This window comes from Homo sapiens, chromosome 4 (assembly GCF_000001405.40).
Source record: "Homo sapiens chromosome 4, GRCh38.p14 Primary Assembly".
Lineage (NCBI taxonomy): Eukaryota > Metazoa > Chordata > Mammalia > Primates > Hominidae > Homo > Homo sapiens.
In genome coordinates, this window is record NC_000004.12 from 148,033,471 (window position 1) to 148,057,035 (window position 23,565).

Sequence of the window (23,565 nt, forward strand, 5' to 3'; positions counted from 1 at the left end):
TAAATCTGGAAAAATAATCAGTTATAACAATGGTTATCCTTAGGTGGTTAGAGTTGGTGATTTTCTTTATACATATTTGTATTTCCTATCTTGTCTATAGTGTATTACTTGTAATACATACATATAAATACACATATACACACATACCGCATACATTTATATGTGTTTAGTTTACAAATGTTTCAGCTTAACTCCGAAGCAAGCTGTGTTTCATACTAGTGTGTTGGGTATATGTTTAATATTTTGTAATGGAAGGACTGAGAAACAGAGTCTAGAAAGAAAGGGAATGGAGTCCCTTTAGCATGAGCTGGCCTGGAGAGACTTCATTGGCACTAACTGAGAATGACTGTCTCTCACTGCTTAGTGTTTTCCTGTTAGACTTCACGTGACTTTCACCTTTTGCCCAGGCTGCTTTCTCATGGTTACGTTGTCCCGGCGTTTTGGGGATCCCTATTACTGGAAATACTTAGGCAGCAAAGAGTTTTATTGAATGGTTGACTTGCTTGTAACGGTTAAGTTTGGATTTAAATTTCTTCCCTCCTCTTGATGTTGTTTATGATCTCAGCAAATCTCTCTCTAAGCCTCACAAATTTGGACAATAAAACTTTGACATGGTTTTTGCCTGGAACAACTGAGTTAATGGATGTAAACCAGCCAATATATGGTAAATATTGAATAGTTTTCGCTTATATTTTCTTGAGAGCCTGATATCTGAAGCAGAAGAGCTTCAGATACGCTTTCATGTTTGGTATGCTTTCAAATAAAATGTAATTTAGTCTTTTATTTCTGGTTATTTTTGTCCAACATTATACCTAAGTTTGTTGGTAACTAGCATCTCCCTCTGGCAATTACTTATTTATTTTTTTGAGACCATTTCGCTCTTGTTGCCCAGGCTAGAGTGCGATGGCGCGATCTTGGCTCACTGCAATCTCTGCCTCCCAGGTTCAAGTGATTCTCCTGCCTCAGCTTCCTGAGTAGCTGGGATTACAGGCCCCTGCCACCACTCCCGGCTAATTTTTTTTTTTTTTTTTGTATTTTTAGTAGAGACAGGTTTCACCCTGTTGGCCAGGCTGGTCTTGAGCTCCTGACCTCAGGTGGTCCACACACTTCGGCCTCCCAGAGTGCCGGGATTACAGGTGTGAGCCACTGCCCTGGCCTCCATCTGGCAATTAATAATGAACTTTCCTTCTTCTTAGATGAGAGGAATAGGGGAGGACAGGTGAAAAGCAAGGAGTCTGGCAATCCTCATTGTCTCAGCTGTACTGGAGGTTGTACTCTGAGCACAGTGCTCTAAATTTCCTGAGCTGTCAAACTGGCAGCTTCCTCAAAGTTTATGGAAGACAGTTTAAGTATCTGAGTAGTTTTGGGTTCCCAAGAATAATAACACATGGCTGTTATATTTTTTGTTTATATGGGCAAAAATTTTAGTCTTTAAACAATGCCCCAGGACTGTGATTATGACATAAAAATGCTCTTTGCTTTGTAGAGTAAAGCAATTTGCTTTGACTTCTATTGACATTGCAACTGAACTGGTCTTACTTGCTTTATAATTGAATTGCTGCAGATTTCCATCGACCTTTGCAAGAGGTAGAGGTGGTTCCTGGAGTTGTAACCTGATGCCTATTAGCTGTTGCTATAACTTTATAATGGGGTCTTTATTTTTTGTCATGTGATTGGTTTTAACAGCTGATTCTCTCATCAGCTTTTCCTGGCATGTACTTTTGGCATATTTTAGCTGTCATAGTAGCTTTTTGGGCAAGCATTATGCTTAATTTCTTTAAATCTTTGGGCAACAGAAAATAAAATGTACTTATTAAGTTTATGGCAATTTCATTACATCTTTTCATGCCTTAATGTGACATTTTAATTTATAGTTCAGGAGTTGCCTTTTTAGTTTTGGGGGGAATGCAGAGCTGTATGTAGTTTTGTTTCTGTGCTTTTGGGATTGTGGAGTAGGAAGCTCTTTTCTTGAGAAGTCACATTTTTCTTTTTCTAGAGAGAATTTCAGATACATTATATTAGCCAAGTGAATTATTATCTAGCAACTGACTGTCATTCATCTGTACATTATTTGGCTTCATTATAGTTCCCATTTTGTCTTGCCATGTTTCAGAGGGAAAATGAAACGGGAGGAGTGAGGTCGTTCTGCCCCTTACCCTGGATGGCATTACTTGAGCTTGCAGTGTAACTGAGAATTGGACTAAGTGGAATTTTAGGAAGCTCTACCATGCGGCAGTTATAACCTGCATCTCAGTGCACCTGCCCGTGCTGAGAAACACAGTTAGCTTCTTTCCTTAATGGGCAGTTGGCAGGGTTAATGTCTTAATCTTTCTCCCTTTTTCCCCCTAATGTAAGACTTAAGGAAGATTTTCTGATCAAAGAATCTGGACTTTTTTCTAGCAGTAATCATGCAATACTTACTACTCTATGGACAGTAAAGAAGAATTTCCTTTGGATGGTAGGGTAGAGTTGATTTTCTTTTTTAAAAAAGATATCTCTAGGTTCACAGTTTTTAAAAGGTTTCATTTTAATGTCAAACTTAGTATTCCGTAACCTATCTTTACTATTCTAATTTGTTTAATAAAGGAGCTGCCTCTGTGTGTGTGTGTGTGTGTGTGTGTGTGTGTGTGTGTGTATACTTTTCCAGTTAAGGAAAACTAATGTATAAGATAATATGATATAATTCCGTGACCTAGGTTTTATAGAGGATGAGAATAAATACCTGGGCTGAAAAATATCTCAATTTTAATTTTTATCTTGCTTTGGACTGTTTCTTTCTGTAGATCTTATCTGTTTGGTGCCTCTGTTGATAGTGCTTCATGAAGAAAATTATCTCACTCAGTTCCTTAGCCATTTCAGTTGAATTTGTGATATGATTTGGTGTGTCCCCGCCCAGATCTCATCTTGAATTGTAGTTCCTATAATCCCCACGTGTCGTGGGAAGGACCCAGTGGGAGGTAGTTGAATCGTGGGAGCAGTTACCTCCATGTTGTTATTGTGATAGTGAGTGACTTCTCACGAGATCTGATGGTTTTATAAGGGGGCTTTCCCCTTTTGCTTGGCACTTCTCCTTCCTGCCATCATGTGTAGAAGGATGTGTTTGCCTCCCCTTCTGCCATGATTGTAAGTTTCCTGAGGCCTTCCAGCCATACTGAACTATGAGTCAATTAAACCTCTTTCCTTTATAAATTACCCAGTCTCAGGTATGTCTTTATTAGCAGCCTAAGAATGGACTGATACAAGTTGACTAGCATACGGATAGATGGAGAGGGAGTGCCAGGTTTTCTTTGGCTTGTTAGGGGTTGATTGGGTTTTGGACCTGACTTTGACCCTTCTCAGCCATGCTGCTCAGACTGCTCTGTGTGTACTGGTCATTCCATGTATAGATTACAACTTCTAGGTAGATGAGGTCCTGGAACACCATGACATTTTGGTCCAGCCAAGCATCTGGGTAAGCTGTGAAGAAACAAGGCTGTTCAGTTTTCTTCAAAAACTGAGGAATGAGCTACTTGGAAAAAAAACAGTCTTAGATAATCCAGCTAGGTGAGATAGGTGGTTTTTCTGTGTTCTTTGGTCATGATCTTTTTCAGTTTCCCTCAGTCTTATGGTAACTTTGGGGATCTGGTCACCCAGTTTCTGAAAGCTAATAATTATTGGAGTACTAGTGACAAGATGCAAAATCAAAATTTTGGACAAAACTGTAATCCTGCCTTTGGGGCAGTAAGAAATCATAAGCTGTTCTGGAAGTCATGCTCCTTTCCTCAGAATTGGAAGTCTTGAATGTTCCACTGTCCATGACAAACTGCTGCCCCAGTAGTTTCAAAACAAGTGGATGTTATGATGTACTTCTAAGTCTTGGGTAGGGAGGAAGAGGCTGTGGACAACTAAAGCATCTTTGGATGTCCTTGTTAAAACAGAATGCCATACAAGATGAGTCATTGTTCTGATCCAATATGACAGTCTGAGATGTCTCTTTTTGCAGGGAGTAAGTAGGATACTTTGACCTGTATGTACCACATTTGAGGAAACAGTATGGTGCACTCTACTCTTCCCAGGCACTAGATCATTAAAGAATGGATGTTGGCCGGGCACGGTGGCTCACACCTGTAATCCCAACCCTTTGGGAGGCCAAGGCAGGGGCGGATCATGAGGTCAGGAGATTGAGATCATCCTGGCCAACATGGTGAAACCCCTTCTCTATTGAAAATACAAAAATTAGCTGGGTGTGGTGGCGTGTGCCTGTAATCCCAGCTACTTGGGATGCTGAGGTACGAGAATCGCTTGAACCCAGGAGGTGGAGGTTGCAGTGAGCCAAGATCACGCCACTGCTCTCCAGCCTGGTGACAGGGTGAGACTCCGTCTCAAAAAAAAAAAAAAAGAAAAGAATGGATGTCAGCTATATCCTTTGATCTCTGTCAATCTTAAAATTCAATTGTTGGTTCCATCTCATATGCTGGCTGAAGCTTTTCACCAGCTCCTAGACAGATTTAACTTTATTTATATAGGTCACCTCTGGATTCATTGTTAAGAATTAGGTTTTATTTACAACATCAAGTCCAAAAACATTTGAACTGGGGTAGGAAAATACAAATTTTGGTTTATTTTAGTTTTCACTATTCAGTGTAGCATTAGGTACTACTTTTTGACATGGTATAGCAACCCAGACTTTATTTTAGCAGAGTAGAAATTATGCTAGAATATATATGAAATGAGTTTGGCAGTTCTGTTTCTTGGTACTAGATACCACTCTCCTTTTCAGTGGCCTGAATGTCCTGGGTAACATTAGGAGGAAAGGCTGCCATGGTTAGGAGATTTTATTGTCATAGTATTTGCCATGTGGTAGAAATTAGGACATGACTATCTCATGCTTAGTTCAAAGATTATGTTTTAAACAGGCTTATACTAATTAGCCAAACAAAACTCTCATCCTACTGCAACATTTTATAATCCCCCCCATTTCAGGTTCTTCCTGTAGATTTTCTTCTCAGAGCTGTTAGTCTGCCACTGTGACTTTTACCCAGAGGTGTTGATTCTTGAGGGTATCCTTTCTCCTCCCCTACCTCCTGAACCCTCGTCTTCCAATACAGACATTCAGCCACATTGTGGTTGCTTTAGTCCTCCTTGGGTACAGCATCATTAGAAGAGACACATCATTTGGGCAGAGAAGCCACTGAAATACTCAAAGCAAGAGATTATTGGTTTTGATTGGGTGGCCCTATTTAAAAGATAGAAAATGCAGGGTGACAGGAGGATGAATTCAGGCACAAGGGGATATAGGGGCATGAGGTGGATGTTAATTGGAGCAGTTGTGCTCACCCTCCGCTGGTGAAAGAGTTCATTTAATTTTGGTTGAAGTCTGTTTTTCCCTTAATGAATTTTGATACAATTGCTGCCTTCTCTTCAAAGAAGCAAATGTTCTTCTGCTTTTTAAAATGACAGTTTTTTTTGTTTCTAAAGTGGTGCCTTTGTTTTGAAACTTAGTGTTATTTCTCTGTTACTTTCTTAAACTATATTTCTCTCCCCACTTCCAATAAGACAAATAATTTAATGGGCTATCAACTCCCTCTGATCTACCCACCCCCACCATGTTGGTATTTTCCAGAATTTCAGTTCTGGATTATTTTGGTTATGTTATTTTCCTTTTCTTTTGTCTTAGATTTTTTAAAAGACAACAATGGACATGATCAAGTTAGCTGAACATCTTATATTGCTTCTTTTATTTAAATACTTAAGGAATTTCTCTGAGAGTGTTATCAGTATAGTTCTTCGTGTGGCCATCCTTTGGGGATTTTTATATCTGGTAATAGTTTTATTATGCCCTCACATTTGAAGGCAGTTTGAATATATAATTCTCTGCTCAAATTTTTTTTCTTTAATACTTTAAGAATACTACTTCAATTTTTTTTTTTTTTTTTTTTTTTTTTTTTGAGATAGAGTCTCACTCTGTAGCCTATACCATTACAGGCACCCACCACCACGCCTGGCTAATTTTTTTTTCTTTGTATTTTTAGTAAAGACGAGGTTTCACTGTGTTGGCCAGGCTGATCTCGAATTCTGGACCTCCAGTGATCTGCCCACCTCTACCTCCCAAAGTGCTGGGATTACAGGTGTGAGTCACCACACCCGGCCTAGGATACTACTTCAATTTCCTTCTGCACTTAGCATTGCTGTTGAGAAGTCTGATGCCAATCTGATTCTTTTTCTTTTTATATGATCTGCTTTTTCCATATGGGTGCTTTTTTCTTTGTATTTGATATTATTAAATGTTAAAATAATATGTCTTACGTGCAGGATTTTCCTTACTCCTCTGTTTGGCACTCTCAGTCCTTTATAATTGAGGTCTTTGATGTTTCTTTAATTTTGAGACTTTGATTATTATTTAAATATTTCCTCCTCTGAATTTGTTTCTGGGATCTAGATTCTGGCAATTTCACTTCTATTCTCTATATTACAAATCTCTAAATCTCTGAGTTTTCTTATTCATTGAGTTTGCTGTCTTAGTTTTCTGTTTTTAGAAGTTCTCATTTACAAGTCCATGGTGAAGGAGGATTTTTTTGTGTGTATGCATGGTTAGGGTGTGTTGGATCCATCTTCTCCCCTTTCTTTTCACTGTCTGGCTATTGCCTCCACTGGGGTCACCTAGGTGCTGGTTCAGAGCCAGGTCTATTATTGCCAGCACAATGTTCTTGTCCTTGGGATAGGCCAAATCATCCCCCAGGCAAGTGGGGAACTTGGTTATAGGTTCTTGGCCTCCATCTAGGGTGGAGGGCTTCTCCCAGTCCCTATTTCCACATGAAGAGCCTGGCTGTAGCCCCTCTGCCCCATGCTTGGTATATTATTATAGATACTAGGAACCCTACAGGTTTTTTTGTTTTTTGTTTTTTGTTTTGAGACAGGGTCTTGCTCTGTTGCCCAGGCTGGAGTACAGTCATGCGATCTCAGCTCACTGCAGCCTCCACCTCCTGGGTTCAAGCGATTCTCCTGCCTCAACCTCCTGAGTAGCTGGGATTACAGGCGTGCACCACCACACCTGGCTATTTTTTGTATTTTTCGTAGAGACTGGGTTTTGCCATGTTGGCTAGGCTGGTCTCAAACTCCTGGCCTCAGGTGATCCACCTGCCTCGGCCTCCCAAAGTGCTGGGATTACAGACATGAGCTGCAGCGCCTGGCCAGAACCCTGCAGGGTTTAAATGTCTAGGTGGTTCTGTTGGTTTCAGTTGGTCTTGGAACCATAAACCTTTGGCTAATGGTCCCTCTGGTTGTTTCTTTTTTGTTTCTGTTCGACAGAAATGTGTAACAAGTTTATCAGGGAAGTTATGTATTTTTATTTATTAAAAAAGATTTGGGGGGGGTTATTTGGTGTATGTGTGAGGGAGAGGTAGGTTTCTCCTTAATATTCCGTCTTGGCTGAACATTTTCTGAATGAACTTTATCACAAGAGTGTTTCTGTGTTATAATTGCAGTTACTTTGTTCTCAGCAAAACTTTCTTTTGATCCTATTAACTACTTGTTAATTAGAAGTAACTAAGTTTATTCTGATCTGACAGGAAGAGTATTTGTATACCAAAGTAGGTTTCAGCGTCCCCCAGCTAGCCAAATGCATGACTGTGAGGTTTGCTTAAATTAAATTCAACTAATATATTAGATCTTTTCTTTTTATGCATTTTTCTTTCCTCTTTTCTGTCTTCTCCTTTTCTTCCTTACTCCTGCTAATACATAAGCTAGATGTTTAAGAATGAGGAGCATGGGATAGCTTTGCTGATGTGGGAATGGTCCATCTGTGAGGAATAACAGAAACTGTCTGTGATTTTATACCATGCCCAAAAAATCTTCAGCTACGTGGAAGAACAGCAGGGAAGGGATTTCAGGGGGGAACTATCTCTGACGTAACTGTTAGGAAATATATTTGAAAGGAGACAAAGAAGAAATGAATGAAATGGCAGGGAAGCCCAAAGCTTTATTCCTTCCAACAATCCAAAAGCAGTTCTGTTCAAGTGAAATGACCAGAAAATGAATGAAGAGAACAGTTTGTCATCATCACAACAAAAAGTTAAACTACCTGAAGTGTAAAAGCTTATCATTAGATTAAAATAAGATATAAACATCCTCTAAATTATTAGAAATGGTAGAATTATCAAGCTCTTGTTTCCTCCTCTTGGTCTAATTTTCTGCCAATCTTTGAAGATGATTTTAGTCTGTCCTGAAAATAAAGCACTTGTTCATGTGCTCAGGCTCATAAAAAATCAGATTAAGTGAAATGTGGTAGCTATCACCAAAGACATGTCCTCTTGACCAATTGTGGTCAGTTTTTATGAGAATTGATGTTTGTTCAGGAATCCTAAATATTTGCAAAAGAACACTGTGTTGTATTTAAAACAACAAAACAACAACAATATTGCTTTAAAGAAAAGCCAGCTCTCTTGGCCGGGAGATCCCTCAACGTTCTTTTACTTTTCCGCATCTTCTTCCTTGCTCTCTCCATCCAGTGCTGTGACTTCAACTCTCTGTGCGTGACTTTCAGATCAATAAAACTATCCCAGGCTTCTCTTCTGAGCTCTAGGGTTGTATAAGCAACTCTCCCTTAGATACTGCCACGTGGATTTTTTATTGACACCCCAAACCCAACATGCCTACAACCGGTCTTATTATCTCCCTCACCCAGTATGCTCCTTGTTTTTTTATTCCCTATTTCAGTTAATGATTCTACCATACACCCAGTTCCTAAGCCATGAACCTGAGGCTCATCTTAAGTTTCTCTCTCACCCTTCACCTTTGTTCACTGAGTTCTAATGACTGTCATAACTGAATATCTTTTGAAGCTGTTCTCCAGATCGTATCACTTCCCTGCTTAATCCCTGCAATACCTTCCCAGTGTCTGCAGAGTAAATTCATATGCCTTTACATTAGATACAAAGTTCTTTACCCTACATCATGCACCTGCTTTCTGCATTTGACCCTGTTCTCCAACAAAATCCAACAACTACTGTGGCTCTGAAAATGGCCACATGCTCTCCTGTTTCTTTTCTTTCAGTTTTGATACTTTCTCGACCAGAGGCTTTTTCCTTGAAACTGGCAATAATTTCTTCCCTTTCCTGTTGCTGCACTCCCACCTGTCTTTCGCTCCTGACACTGGTAACTCTGAAAACTCCTTTTTCTGGGTCTGAAAGCTCCTTGACATAACCATATTACAGCAAACACCACCTTGTTTGTCTTTGCCTGTCTTCTGCATTATACTCTGGGCATCTTTGGGTTAGGGACTGCTTGTCTGCCTGTATAATTCAGCATCTGTGGTATGCCTTTGTACATAAGGAGAAGCTCAGTAAATGCTAGTTGGGTGAATAAAGTGGATTAGAGATGCTTGTGGCTCAAAACGGGAGAGGATGAGAATCCAAAACTGTGTGCAGGTTTTGTAAGAATATGTTGGGGTCTTCAGATTTTTTTTCCCTCCTCAATTTGTAGAGGCAGTGGCTCTCCATGCTGATGCTATTTCTTGTGGCAGTGGCAGTCCTGATGACTCCTGGATTGCCTGGCACTGCTTTGTGTTCTCTAAGGCTTCCCAAGACCAAGACGTGGTCTGCACCCTGACAAAATGTACAAGGGAAATGGGCACCTAAAACCAGGTTATAAAACCAGTATATGATGGCGAAATGCAAAATTGATGGCTGCAGACAGCTCTGAGAAAGGAGAAAAGAATCAGGAGAGGAGGGGTTTGGCAAGTACCTTGTGGGAGTTAAATCTGAGGATGCTGCAAGGAAGTCATTTTCTCTTCTAATCGGCGGTAGTTCATTTTCCAGAGTGTCTTAGAGTCTGTTCATAAATCCTTTGGTACCATTTTTGTTCACTCACTGGAACAACCTTTTTACCCAGAGGTGATTTGTCTGTTTGTAGATGCCTGTTAAAGGGTAACACCTAAGGGAAGAGATTGTGTGATCACTCAGAAGAAATGATAGGTGAAAAATAATGAGTGTATCTGACTTTAATTCTCAATTTTAAGTTAGCTTTGTGGGATTTAAAATCTTTATTCCCAGCCAGGGGTGGTGGCTCATACTTGTAATCCGAACACTTTGAGAAGTCAAGACAGGAGAATCACTTGAACCTAGAAGTCCGAGACCAAGCTGGACAACATAGGGAGACCCTCTCTCTAATATATATATATATATATATATATATATATATATATATTTTAGGTGTATAAATATAGATATGTAAGTATATAGGAAAAATGTATAAGGAAAAATGTATATGCATTTTTCATATATATATGTGTATATATATGTATATATGTATATATATGTGTATATATATGTATATATATATGTATATATATATGCATTCATTCCAGAAGTTGTTGAACATAGAATATTTTTTAAGTTTTATTATTTTCATAGTAGTTAAAAAATGCTAATTTGATTTTTGGTTAACTAAAGTTTCAGAAATGGTTGTGAGTATTTAATGTTTGTGTACCTGATGATTTATTCTCCCTCAAATTCAGTGATTCTCTCAAGTAGGTAAGCTCATTCCTGAACAGTGAAGGAGGAAGGAACTCTATACACTTGGAAAGTAGGGTGAAGTGTCTTCTCCTTTGATCAGGCTGTGTCAACATTCCCTTCTACCAATGTTATTTTCACTTGAGGGTTCAAATTGCCACTGTTTGGCAGGAAGGAAGAGAGAACTCTCTTAATAGAATGTGATTTAATATGTTGAATGACAATTTGTGCTGTGTCAGTCTGCTTGGGAAAAGGATTAGAGGCAGTGTAAATGATCTGCTCTATCTGGTTGTAAAAACATTTCAGGCATCTTTCAAAAGTAACATTAAACCCCTGGTCTCCAGTTCCCCAAAGTTGCTTCTCATTGACAGGTTTCTCTCGGTAGGAGTAAGTCAGGGAATAAACCGGTCCCAGACTCTCCTTTGCTGCTTCTGCCATGTCATGCCTTGCCCAACTGTCAGGGCACACAGCCCAGGGAGGACTGAGGGCCTGGGTCCAGCCTCCTGCAGCCAGGGAGCTGCTGGCATCTGACTTGCTGTGAAGGTGATCCTGTTCTGCTTCAGAACTGATGACAGTTTGCTATGTCTAGCTGAGCACTGAGGGCAGCCGTCATGCCAGGTCAATGTTCAGGTTTACTCTGGACTCCGTTCTGGGGTTCCATTTGAGATTCTCTTAATTTTGAGGGGAGTCATTGCTCATGATGAATGAAAGACACAGGGAGGGGCTGGGGAAAGCTGGAGGCCAGCCCCTCGCGTCACTTGGGCTCTTTCACAGAAAAGAACTGGACGGAGTTGAGCTCGCTGGGCACAGGGGATGATGTGGTCTTTGTTCCAAAGTGGATGGATCCCAGAAAGAAAATACATTAAAAGGAAATCATAGCAGTGGTCTACCAGTGGGTTTTGGTCCATTTGCCTGAAAATTGGCCCTTCTATTGGCGCTGAGTTTCTCCAATTAGCTAAACGTTTTTTGTGGTGAAGCGCTGTGGAAAAAGTGGCTTCACTGAAAGAGCAATCATAGTCTTCTAGACTTTATAAATAGACTCAGACAAGAAGAACTGCCCTGTGGAGATACGGTTCATCTCTTGCTCAGCCATCTCCCCCACCCTCCCCGGGAACACACTTATGAAATAAAGAGCTCAGAAAACTCTTCCTTGGAGTTTCAGTGGTACAGTTGGTTAGTGTGCAGCACTTAAACAGAAACCTCTTCTTAACAGAATGTTCTGCACAGTGTCCTCCAGGGGTCCCCCTCAATACTCACCATAAACAATTTCTTCTTCCAGCCATCACCACCATCTCTAACTCCTGCTTGTCTGGATTCAGTTGTTCTAGATCTCCATTTCTGAGATTTTCTCTCTTAACCCTTAGTTGTAAGCTGGGTCAGGAGTCAATAATAATTATTTTGTACAATCAGTTTTCAAGATTCCCCTGGAGTCTGGGGAGCTAGCTTAATCAGAGCCTGGAATTTCTCTTATGCTTCGTTTTTAGGAGAATTGAAATCCATCTGGCTGGGTGCAGTGGCTCACGCCTGTAATCCCAGCAATTTGGGAGGCTGAGGCAGGCGGATCACCTGAGGTCAGGAGTTCGAGACCAGCCTTAACATGAAGAAACCCTGTCGCTACTAAAAATACAAAATTAGCCGGGCGTGGTGGTGCATGCCTGTAATCCCAACTACTCGGGAGGCTGAGGCAGGAGAACTGCTTGAACCTGGGAGGCGGAGCTTGCGGTGAGCCGAGATCGCGCCATTGCACTCCAGCCTGGGCAGCAAGAACGAAACTCCATCTCAAAAAAAAAAAAAAAAAAAAAAAAAAAGAAATCCATCTAAGATGTTTTTTGAGAGCAAGGTCCTTGCTGTTGCTGGTGTTCTTGCTTGCTTTGTTTCTAGGACCTGGGAGTGAGGAAACGTGAAGCTTTAATCAGCTACAAGCTGTTGGGGGCTGGGGTTATGGACCTCTATGTGTGTCACATTTGCTTCCATAGCAGTTTAGGACCATCACCTATAAAATTAAGGCCAAGTCAGTGCCATCTTTGTAGAACATTGCTGCCTCTGCAGGGTTGCCTGGAGCAGTTAAAATTTAATGGGGACTGAGGATTAGGCCAAAGGGCCAAGCCTTGATGGGTGCAGATCAGGTGCATTTTATGGTAGCTGGGAGGACTGTGAAAGCAAGAAGACCAATAGAGGGAAATAACTGCTCTTGTGAGCTCTCTTGTCCGTCTTCTGCATTTTCTACCCAAGCCCACAATGTATACAAATATTATACTAAACATATTTAATAAAATGGTCCCCTGTGAATGGATACATTGTGCAACTCATTTAAAAAAAAATTTAGCTTTGGTTTAAATTCATCGTGTGGCATTACCACAAAAGCCTAACTCTCTTGTAGTACCCTCCCTGATATCCAAAGGGAAATGGAAGTTTGTCTATGTGTGGGATTTTAATGTTGGGGTATTAGAAATTATAATCCAAGATACCAGCTCAGTAAGACAAGTCCCTTTTAGAGTTGTCTAATTTATTATGCACTAAATGGCAACTGAGAATGACTTAAAGAACCAATAGGTGACCAGAAAGGAAGAGGTTGGACCCCACAGGGCTGGTGTGCTGCTTGGAGCTATTCTTGATTTCATTGGTTTATACCTGGACTCCGTATAGTGAGGAAGTCATTGTGGCTGCCATTATGCCTTTTATCTTCCATTATCTGATTTTGATCATTGTGTTTTCTTGTAAGGAAAACATTCCTCGCTGTGTATTATCTGTGGTTTATTTTAAGCATCTTTGATTAAAAAAAATGTAAAGACAGGACACCCAGATACTGTCAGGCTGAACTGTAAATGTAATTTTATCATTTGATTGACTAATCAAGTAACACCATATAATTATTAGTGGAGTTTTTTCTTCTCCAGGTATTTGTTTGATATTCAATGCTTTTTTTCCTCCTAGGTGACAATCCTTACCCTTCCAAGGAGGACACCCCTACCAGCAGTCTGGACTCACTTTCCTCCCCGTCTCCCGTGACTACAGCTGTCCCTGGGCCTCCTGGACCAGACAAAAACCACCTTCTGGCAGATGGAGGGAGCTTTGGAGACTGGGCATCCACTATGTAAGTAACCGTGCTTCTGTTGGGTGCTGAAGGGTGGAAGCCCTGACTTTGTTCATTTTAAAGTTTCCATGAGCAGTGACCTGTGGGTGCTGAAGCCATTAGATCTAGGAGCCCTTGTTTTCTTATCAGAAGGGCCACCAAAGGGAGAAGGGTCCTTAAAACAGAGCCTTCCTTGAATACTGTCTGTGTTTCTAGTATGGAAGGGGTAGCTGGATGCTATGTCAAATCTGATCGAAGTTCAATTCCTGGGCAGTTTTGGATTCTGCAACGGAAATTTGTTACTGTCCCACCCAAGATGTTTCCCCACTAGTTATGCAAACTTTAGAGATGTGAGAATGCATGCTGATGGACAGACTCTTGAAACTGTCTGTAGAATGATATTTTACTTACATGAATTTCTGAGAGCATTATGCTAGCATTCTGCTCTGTTTTGCTCCATAGCATCCTGCAGAGTTGAGACTTGATGGTTGACATTTGATTTTATCTTCTCAGTTTGGTTTAGTGCCAGGCATGTGCAGATCAGCTCAAGTATATTAGGACAAATAATATTAATACAAATAAAGTACCTTGAACCTGTGAGGGCTTGTCTGGCTGTGTTGACCAAGGCTGTGGAGTAAAGGCAGGATGGTGGTGATGTGGAACCCAAAAGGGCATCACGTTTCAAACAAGTGCTCAGAGAAGAGAAAACTCCAATAATAATTACAAGGCAATACTTGATTAGTCAATCAAATTTTATCTAAAAATACATTTATAATTCATCCAGAGAATCTTTTTTTTTCTTTTTTTTAAAGATGGAGTTTTGCTTTTGTTGCCCAGGGTGGAGTGCAGTGGTACCATCTTGGTTCACTGCAACCTCCGCCTCCTGGGTTTAAGTGATTCTCCTGCCTCAGCCTCCCAAGTAGCTGGGATTACAGGTGTCTGCCACCACAGCCAGCTAATTTTTATAGTTTTAGTAGAGACGGGGTTTCACCATGTTGGCCAGGCTGGTCTCAGACTCCTGACCTCAAGTGATCCACCCGCCTTGGCCTCCCATAGTGCTGGGATTACAGGTGTGAACCACCATGCCCAGCCCATCCAGAGAGTCTTCAAAAAATTTTGTTGAAGCCAAAGTTGCTTAAAATAAATTATAGATAATGGTGTCATCTGACCCTAGCTGGGCATTCTGGGGACTTTAAATGGACTGGAAAGTGTTCCTCAGATTACGTGGCTTTTTATAGTTACTGCTGGATTCACATGAAATGATTGTGAACTTATTAAGTATTAAGAGAGGCTGGGAGACATTTGGTATGCCAAAATTTGGGGGTGATCTGAAGACTTTGAAAATCTGAGACTCCAAGTATGGAAACACATTCTCCAGATGAGATTTTTCCTGCCAGTGTTTTCATCTGTGCATATTTTTTATGCTGAGGATTGTGGATTTAAATCCTACATTACTAGGTATGCTTGTCACCTTTACTCTTCCTTTTCCACAATAAAAATTCTGTTTCACCGTAGTACTACAAGCAACAATAACAGTAGTTACCTAGGCACGCAGAATCTATAATCCTGGTTACACTCGAGGTGGAATTTAGCATGTGTGTATGTTTTAGTGAAAACCAGATCTCTAATTATGCCTTTCAGTAAGTGAATATCACAGGCAGTGGAGTGCAGTTTAAGCAGTCATCTTTCTTCTGTAGCAGTTCTGCAGAAAACTGACATTATGAGCCACGGTACAGCCAACACTCAATTCACAACACGTCCATGCCTGAAACAAGAAGGGCTTGATATTTTTGGTCATAAATCAAATGAGGAGTGAATTCCCCAGCTTCCTATTCATACGCATTTTAAAATGTCATGAAAAGCACTCCAACCTTGAGAGGCCAAAAAGGGGGTTGGGGGGAGTAGTTGAAGCAAGCCTGGAAAGGAGATTTTTTTTTTTTTTTTAATGGAGACTTTCTTCTATTTCAGAAACTTGATTTATTTTTTTCTGTGCCATGGATGGAATACATCTATGTTTCTCTGAAGTATATACTAAAATGTTTCTTATGTATCTTTTAAAGGATTTACTGATGAGTGTGTATCAGTCCAGATTTGTCATTATGTTAGGAAGTTTGTATATAGATGAGTGCCTCTTGGACTTGAGTATGCACCAGAACCTCCTGTAGGTCTCACTGAGACCCACACTGCTGGCCCCACCCTGGAGCTGAGGATTCTGTAGGTCCGAGAAGGGTCCTGAGAGCTTGCCATTCTAAGGAGTTCCCAGGTGACGATGAATGAGCCTTGATATGGAAGACCATCCCCTGCTCCTTGCCTGCCTCCAGGGCTGTGCTGAGTATAAGCTGCTTCTCTGAGGAGCGTAATTAGGATAAGTGATTGCTCCACCTCTTTTGTGTAAAACACACTCTTCTAGGGTCGTGCGTTGCTGTCCTCCCAGTAGCCGGTGTGTGCTTCCCACATGGTCTGGTTCTCTTTGCCTCAAATATCTGTCCTGCTTTTTTGCTCAAGCCAATCCTGACCTATCTTAACGGTCTAATTTAATCTTCACCTCCGGGAAGTCTTCCCCATGCTGTAATCTACAGGGAGCCTCTAAAGAGATTCCTTGTCCGTATTTCTGCTGATACTTATTATTTGGCGCTAAGAAATTCAAGTTGCCTTTGAGTGTTCTTTAATATTTGCCTTTTAGTATTATTTGATATTTATATGGAATAAATGTTTCTACCTATCTAGCTAATCTTTCCCTTACCCCAAGCTAGATCATAAAATTGTTTTTTTTGTTTGTTTGTTTGTTTGTTTTTTTTGGGTGGGGGGGCGGGGGGCGGGGGGCGGGGGGTGGTGGTGGCGGTGGGAGGGTGGGGAAGACTGAGTCTCACTCTGTCACCCAGGCTGGAGTGTGGTGGCATGATCTCGGCTCACTGCAACCTCCGCTTCCTGGGTTCAAGTGATTCTGGTGCCTCAACCTCCCCAGTAGCTGGGATTACAGGCACGTGCCACCGCACTGGCTACTTTTCATATTTTTGGTAGAGATGGGGTTTCCTCATGTTGGTGAGGCTGGTTTCAAACTCCTGACCTCAAGTGATCCGCCTGCCTTGGCTTCCCAAAATGCTGGGATTACAGGCGTGAGCTACCGTGCCCTGCCATAACCTTGTTAATGATAGGAATTAGATCTTATATTCTTTGAACTTTTTTGTGATATTGATGTAATTATTAGTGAACATTTAATTTCTTATTTTAATGATGTATTTATAGAAATGCTGCCTTTTGGAAATCTCATTTCTTTCTCTGTGTTACTGAATGTCTCTTAGGCTACTACATTTGGTTTCTTACTCATCATCATCTTTTTTTTTTTTTTTTTTTTTTTTTTAAGATGTAGTCTCGCTCTGTTGCCCAGGCTGGAGTGCAGTGGTGCCATCTCAGCTCACTGCAAGCTCCGCCTCCTGGGTTCACGCTATTCTCCTGCCTCAGCCTCCCGAGTGGCTGGTTCTACAGGCGCCCACCACCACGCCTGGCTAATTTTTTGTGTTTTTAGTAGAGACGGGGTTTCACTGCGTTAGCCAGGATGGTCTCGATCTCCTGACCTCGTGATCCACCCACCTCGGCCTCCCAAAGTGCTGGGATTACAGGTGTGAGCCACCGTGCCCGGTTGATTCATCTTCTTTCTTATAAAGATTACAAACTCTTCCTCTAGGAATTCCACACAATTAATCTTACCATTTGCTCCTTACTGTGTTTTGTTTCCTTAGCATTTATAAGTTCTCATTGTATGTTCTCTTCTTGTCTTTTCCCCCTTTATCTCTGCATACCAGCTATACAGTATTAAATATCATAGGTTCTAAGTAAATGCTCATTAAGATTCCTTTTAACCAAAGTTGCTATGGAGTCATTGAAACTCTACTCTGGGCTCTTAATAGGAGGCAATGCCTTTACTGTGGTCTCAGGTCCTAAGGAATGGAGTCCAAATGTATGTGGATCACATAGGACCCCAGTAGATCTGTTGAACAAAAATGCTAAAATCTTGTCCACTGGGAAGCAGTTTGCAGAGGAAAACTTACAGCAGCCGTGGTTCTGACATAGGTGGTGTAGCTGTTGCCTCTGATAGGTAGAAAACAATGCAGCAGAATTGGATTCCTTGGATTTCTGCTGATGTTCATGACTTGTGGGTGTTATTCATTGCAGTCAATCAATCTGTAGCTCTTACTTACCTGTACCCTCAGTAAGGCGATGGGTGACTTCATTGCCAGTGAAGAATTGCTAGCTCAGTCTCCTTGGAGGACATTGCATCATAGGTCAAGGTATTTCGAATGTTCCAAAGTCATTTTTTCCCCACAATAAGGTAGTTTTCGCTAAACAGGTTTTCTTCTATTGTAATTGATGGAGCCGGGTCCTTGACAAGTAATCCTTTTAGATTCTCTGCCACAAAAGAAAATCTCTTTTAAGAAATATCGGGCATTGCTATCTGCTTCCTCTACAGATTTCAAATGAAAAGGAACACCTCCTTTTCTGCTGGCACATTCTCAAATTCAAGATGGCATGGTCTCAGAATAGCTCACTCTAGCTGGGGGTGCCGGCACCCTGAGATGCATCTCACTGTGTGCCCTGGCAGGCCAGGAGGGCAGTAGATTCCCCTCTCCCACCCACTGAGAGGCTTGGCTTTGTTTATCCTGAATGTTGATATCTCTAAAGCATCTATCCCAGCTAGTGCCTCAAGCTGTCGTTGTGCCACTGAGATTTGTGCCTACTCAGACTTGATGTCAGTTATTTAAAATCACTAGATAACACCTTCCTATTCCCATATACAGCCTTGTGCATGTCATCATATACTTTGTGTGCACTCACTGGTAACCATTTTTATTCTCGTCAATGCAATCACTTGTTTCCTTTAAATTGGGCAAATGAATGGGGGGTTTCTCAGAGACAGCTGCTTGGCATTTCAAATTACTTGACTGTTGGTTCCATGATTGCTTTTCAGGAAGTCAATAAATTTTGCTGGGAGATACCAGAGTACCCCGCTCCCCCAAATATGATTTGTGGCTTAGTACACCACAGTAAACTGTGAATGATTTGCCTAAAGTTCAGAAAAATAATCATTTTAGATCATTTTTAATAGATTTCTGTGAAGTCTGGTGCCTACTGAGAAATTACAGGGTGGGAGTCACTGGCAAACCCTGTCTTCACTTCCTCCTTTCCTCTCTCTCTGTCTTTCCTTCTTCCCTCTCTCTCCTCCTTCAGAGAGGGCTTCCTCAACCCCAGCACTCCTTGAGGGCCAGGACACTCAGTTCACCCTAGAAGTTGGTATCTTAATCTGATTATGTAAAAAAAAAAAAAAAAAGATTTATCTTTTAAAAGTGTTTTTTTGCACATTTGCTTTTTTTTTTTTTTTTTTTTGGGCTAATTGACCAAAATGAACATATACTGCTTTTGTAATAAGAAGTGGGAAGCTCTGTAAATTTCAGGTCAGGAGAGGGTGATAAGTAACCTAAAGGAATGAACTTCCCATTGCAAAAACTTCCTGCATCTTTCTTGGTTAGTAGGGGGATGATTTCCTAATAAGATGAGCAGCTTTACTCTGTTTACTTGTATCTGGGCCCTGGTTACAGAATGCAGTGGGTTACACTGAGATCTCTAGGAGAGCCTAGTGCCTTCTTGTGGAAGGATGTGGTCTCTGATTCTGGGTACTGTGAAGAATGAATTGGCAGCCAGTACCTGTTACCATACCTAAGTAAACAGCAGGGTCACTTAGATAGTGGAGGTCTAAGGGAGCTCAAATCTAAGGAAGAACAGGGGCCAAATGAACAGGAGGAACATGCTGCCTTGCTGTGAGCCCACAGCAGCCTGTTAAATTCTGCACAGAGGTTAGCTCCTTCCCCTACCTCTTGGGGGTCTGGGGATTTGAGGGAGTAGAACCTTTGGCTTTAGCAGAGGCTGGTGGTTGAGGCTGCAGAAAAAGTATTAGATACCCTCTTGGCACTTCCAGGCTGAGAGACCATGGAGCATTTAGTATTATGGGCCACCAGACTTTGTTTCAGCTATTTTGTAGATGACGTTTCATCTTAATGCTTGCATCAACCCAGTGCGGTAGATATATCTTCATTTTTAAAAAGATTGGAAGGCGCAAAGGACATAGGAAAATTGGCCCAAGCCACACAAGCAGTAAAGGACAGGTGAGTTTGACCCCTCATGTGTCTGCCCAGTGACTTGTTTTACTGTAGAAATTGAAATTGTGCAGTTGCATATGGGGACATTGCTTGAATTGCAGGTATTCTCCACCCTGCCCCGATTCTGAAACCCAGTGAAACAGCCATGGCTGTCAACTGGTCAGTGCCCTTGGTTTGAAGAGGGAGCACTGACCTTACATTAAGTCATGTGGCTGTGGTTTATAATTATCTATGGGGAATAAACACTTGAATCTGGTTGCTGCGCATTTATCATCTAACACCTTGGCTGAGATGCGGGCGGGAGGGCCTTCTCCCCCACAGCAGAGCTTGAGAGACTTGGAAATTTGATCTATGCAACCAGGCAGCATCCATAATCTTTTTATGAGTAATATGATATTCGGTTGTCTCCCTTCAGCTTCAGAAACGCTCTGGAAGTGATTCTCAGGGCCTGTATACTTGGCCATCTACCATCACATTGTCTATTCACATTCAGTCTGGGGGTACAACTTTTGTCCTGTGTGTTTCCTTGAATTTCTTCTCTCCAGCTTTGTATAGAAATTATGCTATGCCGACTGCCTGGCCCCTTACATGCTTCGATACACATCCATTGTGGCTTGCTGGGGTATTTTTGGTATCTGCGTTGTGTACTTGGCACTTGCGTGTGGCCTAATTCGTGCCTTCCTTTGCTGTGCTGTAGCTGCAGGTGCTGAAATTTGGAGGTTTTATTTTTAAGTCAGAATGTTGATAGTCCATGTAACTTTAAAGCCCTACCATGAAAAGATGACTTCCCAAAATAAAGACATGTCTGAATTTTGTAGTAGCTTTTCCACTGCTTAAGACTTAAAAACAATTAAGTCTTGCATCAGTCATTTTTGGTTTTTAGTTTAACTGGTTTTTGTTGTTAAAGATTTTCTTACTTGATGCCATTGTTGTAATTTATTATTTGCTATTCATAAATTGGCTGTGTCTCAATATCTAAATAAAGTAAGGACCTCATGGGCTCTCTCCGTAAGTTCGAGACCGTTTACATTGGTAAGTCACTGATTTCAAACAGGCCTGGCCTTGCATCCACGTTCTTTTTCTTACAACCTTGAAGATCTTTTATATAAGTGATTTAAGCAAACCAGGGATTTAAGCAAACCAAGGCTTAGCAAGATTATCTGTAAAAGGGGAATAATAACATCTGCCCCTCTGGGCCGGGGTGAGGTTTCCAGATACCACATGTAATAAAACCCAATCACTGCTCCCCTGAGAGCTCGAGGCAGCCACCTGCTGGGATTTTCCTTTCCTCTGAGAATGTAGTTTAATATTCTTAGTTTAACTTGACCCCAACTTCCTGGTTCATCAGTTACATAATCTCCTCACTGACTAGCTCAGAGAGAGAACCTTTCTAGCCTTGGAGAAGCTCTAGATGTTGACCTGAAGTTGTGTTGTTTTTAGCAGTTACTGTATTTATTCCCGGAGGACTCAGCTGGGGCTTCTCTCCTAGCCTCTTGCTTTGGGGATCTGCTTTGTCAGAGCCTCTGAGAATAGACCCTTGGCTATCACATGATCAAAGCATGGGGAACCTACTGAGACCCAACCACATTTATAACTTATTCTGAGCCGTATACCCAGGTAGCTCACCCATTACAACAAGTAACCCATAAATCTCTTTGTAAGTGATTGGTGGATTTTTCTGAGCGGAGTATCTGTGTCCCTTTAGAGCTGTGCTTGGCCCTGTTGAAGATGTTCAGCCTTCACATTGGGTGGCAGCTGGTCGAAACATTCCTGTCAGTGACTGCAGGACAGTAACCTTCAGACCTCGAATGCCCCCTAATTTTCTGAAATGAAGTTACAGTTCCTTTTCTGTTCAACTAGCAAGCTAAAGTTCAGCCCTCTTACCTGATTCCACACTGATCATCTGGAAGGAAGGTAGGATTCAAGGAGAACTCTTTGAGTGGAAGAGCAGTCAGAGATGTAATTCTGCGCCTGTTCTCTTACAGCAAAACCAAGAACTTTTGCTCTAAGAGAGTGGACTTTGGGAGTGAACTTTGTCAGATGATTAGATGGTGATGTCCTTTCTTGTTAAAGGAGGAAATCCATGTAGGAGCCTCAGGATCGCACAGGCTGAGGACTGAGTGTTAAACATGGCAGGCCTTCCTTCATGGGGCTTGAGGGATTTCCTGCAGTGCCCTTCCTCCTCTCCCTGACCGCCTACCTCCTGCAAAAGATATTTGTTCTCAGCTGGGCGCGGTGGCATACGCCTGTAATCCCAGCACTTTGGGAGACTGAGGCAGGCAGATCACTTGAGGTCAGGAGTTCGAGAGCAGCCTGGCCAACATGGTGAAACCCTGTCTCTACTGAAAATACAAAAATTAGCCTGGCATGGTGGTATGCACCTGTAATCCCAGCTACTCGGGAGGCGAAGCACGAGAATTGCTTGAACCTGGAAGGCGGAGGTTGCAATGAGCCAAGATTGCGCCACTGCACTCCAGCCTGAGTGACAGAGCAAGACTCCGTCTCAGGGAAGCAACAAAATAAAGATATTTGTTCTCAAAGGTGAACAAGTTACTGCTTTTACGTGCTGGCTTCATGTATTGGCTGGCTCCCTGCTGCTTGAGAGATGATCTTATACAGTTGAAGAAGGCCTCTGCTGCAGGAAAGCACTGGGTATGTGTGGGTCAGCCCCAGGCACGAACAGGGGAGCCCCGCACCACAAAACCAGTGAAGATGGAGGGGATTCTCCATCCGAATTGTCTTCATCTCCCCCAAACCCCACGTCCCTTCCAGGCTTCTTATCTGGTCTGTTTAATCCAGGGGTGAGCAAACCGTGGCCCACTGCCACCTGTCTTTATAAAGTTTTATTGGAACACAGCTACACTTAGTTGTTTACGTTTTGTCTGTGGCTGCTTTTTCACTGACAGTGATAGCAGAATTGAGTAGTTGCAGAAGGCCTGCCAAGCTTGAAGTATTTACTCTCTGGCCCTTTACAGAATAAGTTTACTGATCTTGAGCTAATCAGTAATCAAAACAGGTCTGTTTGGAAGGGCCCACCTTTCTTAAAACCCAGCTTTAGGAAGTGCAGTTAACCACTGTGGTGGTAGATGGAGAGTGCCAGGTGATTTTCAGTGTAAGCTTCACACATCTCTTCTTGTCATTAAACCAACCAGACATTTTCCCTATGGGTTTTGGATGCCCTCAAATGTTTATTTATAATTTCAGAAGGCTTTTAGTGTTTCAGTGACTGAAAAACCTATGTGGGGTTGTTCTTTTTATAATGTATCATTTAAAATAAATTTTTATTTTGGAATAGTTTAAGGTATGCAGAAAAGTTACAAAGATACTACAGAGCTTCCGTAGACCCTTCACTTCCCCTCTTCACTTCCCGCCCCCACCCCACCTCCGGCTCTTAGCATCTTACAGAACTGTGGTACCTTTGTTAAAAATAATGAAATTAGTGTTGATACAGTACTGTTAACTAAACCACAGACTTCATATGGACTTCACCAGTCTTTCCAATAATGTTCTTTCTCTGTTTCAAGCTCAAATCCAGGATGCCATGTTTCTATAAGCAACTTTAGATTTTTTAAATGATGACATCTACTTAATATAGTCATACTTTTTTCCCTTTGCATAGCTGATTTGCTGTCTTTTGGTAAATTAAATGGTTAGTGATGATATAACCCTAGAAATCAGAGGTAAGATCTGACCTAGAAATATGTAATAGTAGTGAGGGCTTCATTTATTGACTGCTTGCTATGCTTCAGGGCTTTACGCCTATCATCTCATTTAAACCCACAGTGACCCAGCCGATGAGTCATGACTCTCTTCACGTTAGCTGAGGGAGTTTAGGTTGCTCAGCCAAGTTTCA

General features: G+C 41.6%; 1 protein-coding gene across 5 annotated transcripts in view, besides 1 other annotated feature; it reads left to right on the plus strand.

Moving 5' to 3' along the window:
* Nucleotides 1–23,565, plus strand: part of ARHGAP10 (Rho GTPase activating protein 10) — a 340,689-nt gene that overhangs the window by 301,383 nt on the left and 15,741 nt on the right. For all 5 annotated transcript variants that reach the window (NM_024605.4, XM_005263215.4, XM_047416160.1 and 2 more), the window contains one exon: nucleotides 13,422–13,581. In NM_024605.4, coding sequence (NP_078881.3) covers nucleotides 13,422–13,581 — 160 coding nt within the window. The remainder of the gene's footprint in view (nucleotides 1–13,421; nucleotides 13,582–23,565) is intronic.
* Nucleotides 18,539–22,652: an enhancer, noted in NCBI's record as "VISTA enhancer hs2100". NCBI's record gives its function as "enhancer in: facial mesenchyme[3/5]" and the evidence as "EXISTENCE:transgenic organism evidence [ECO:0001131][PMID:17130149]".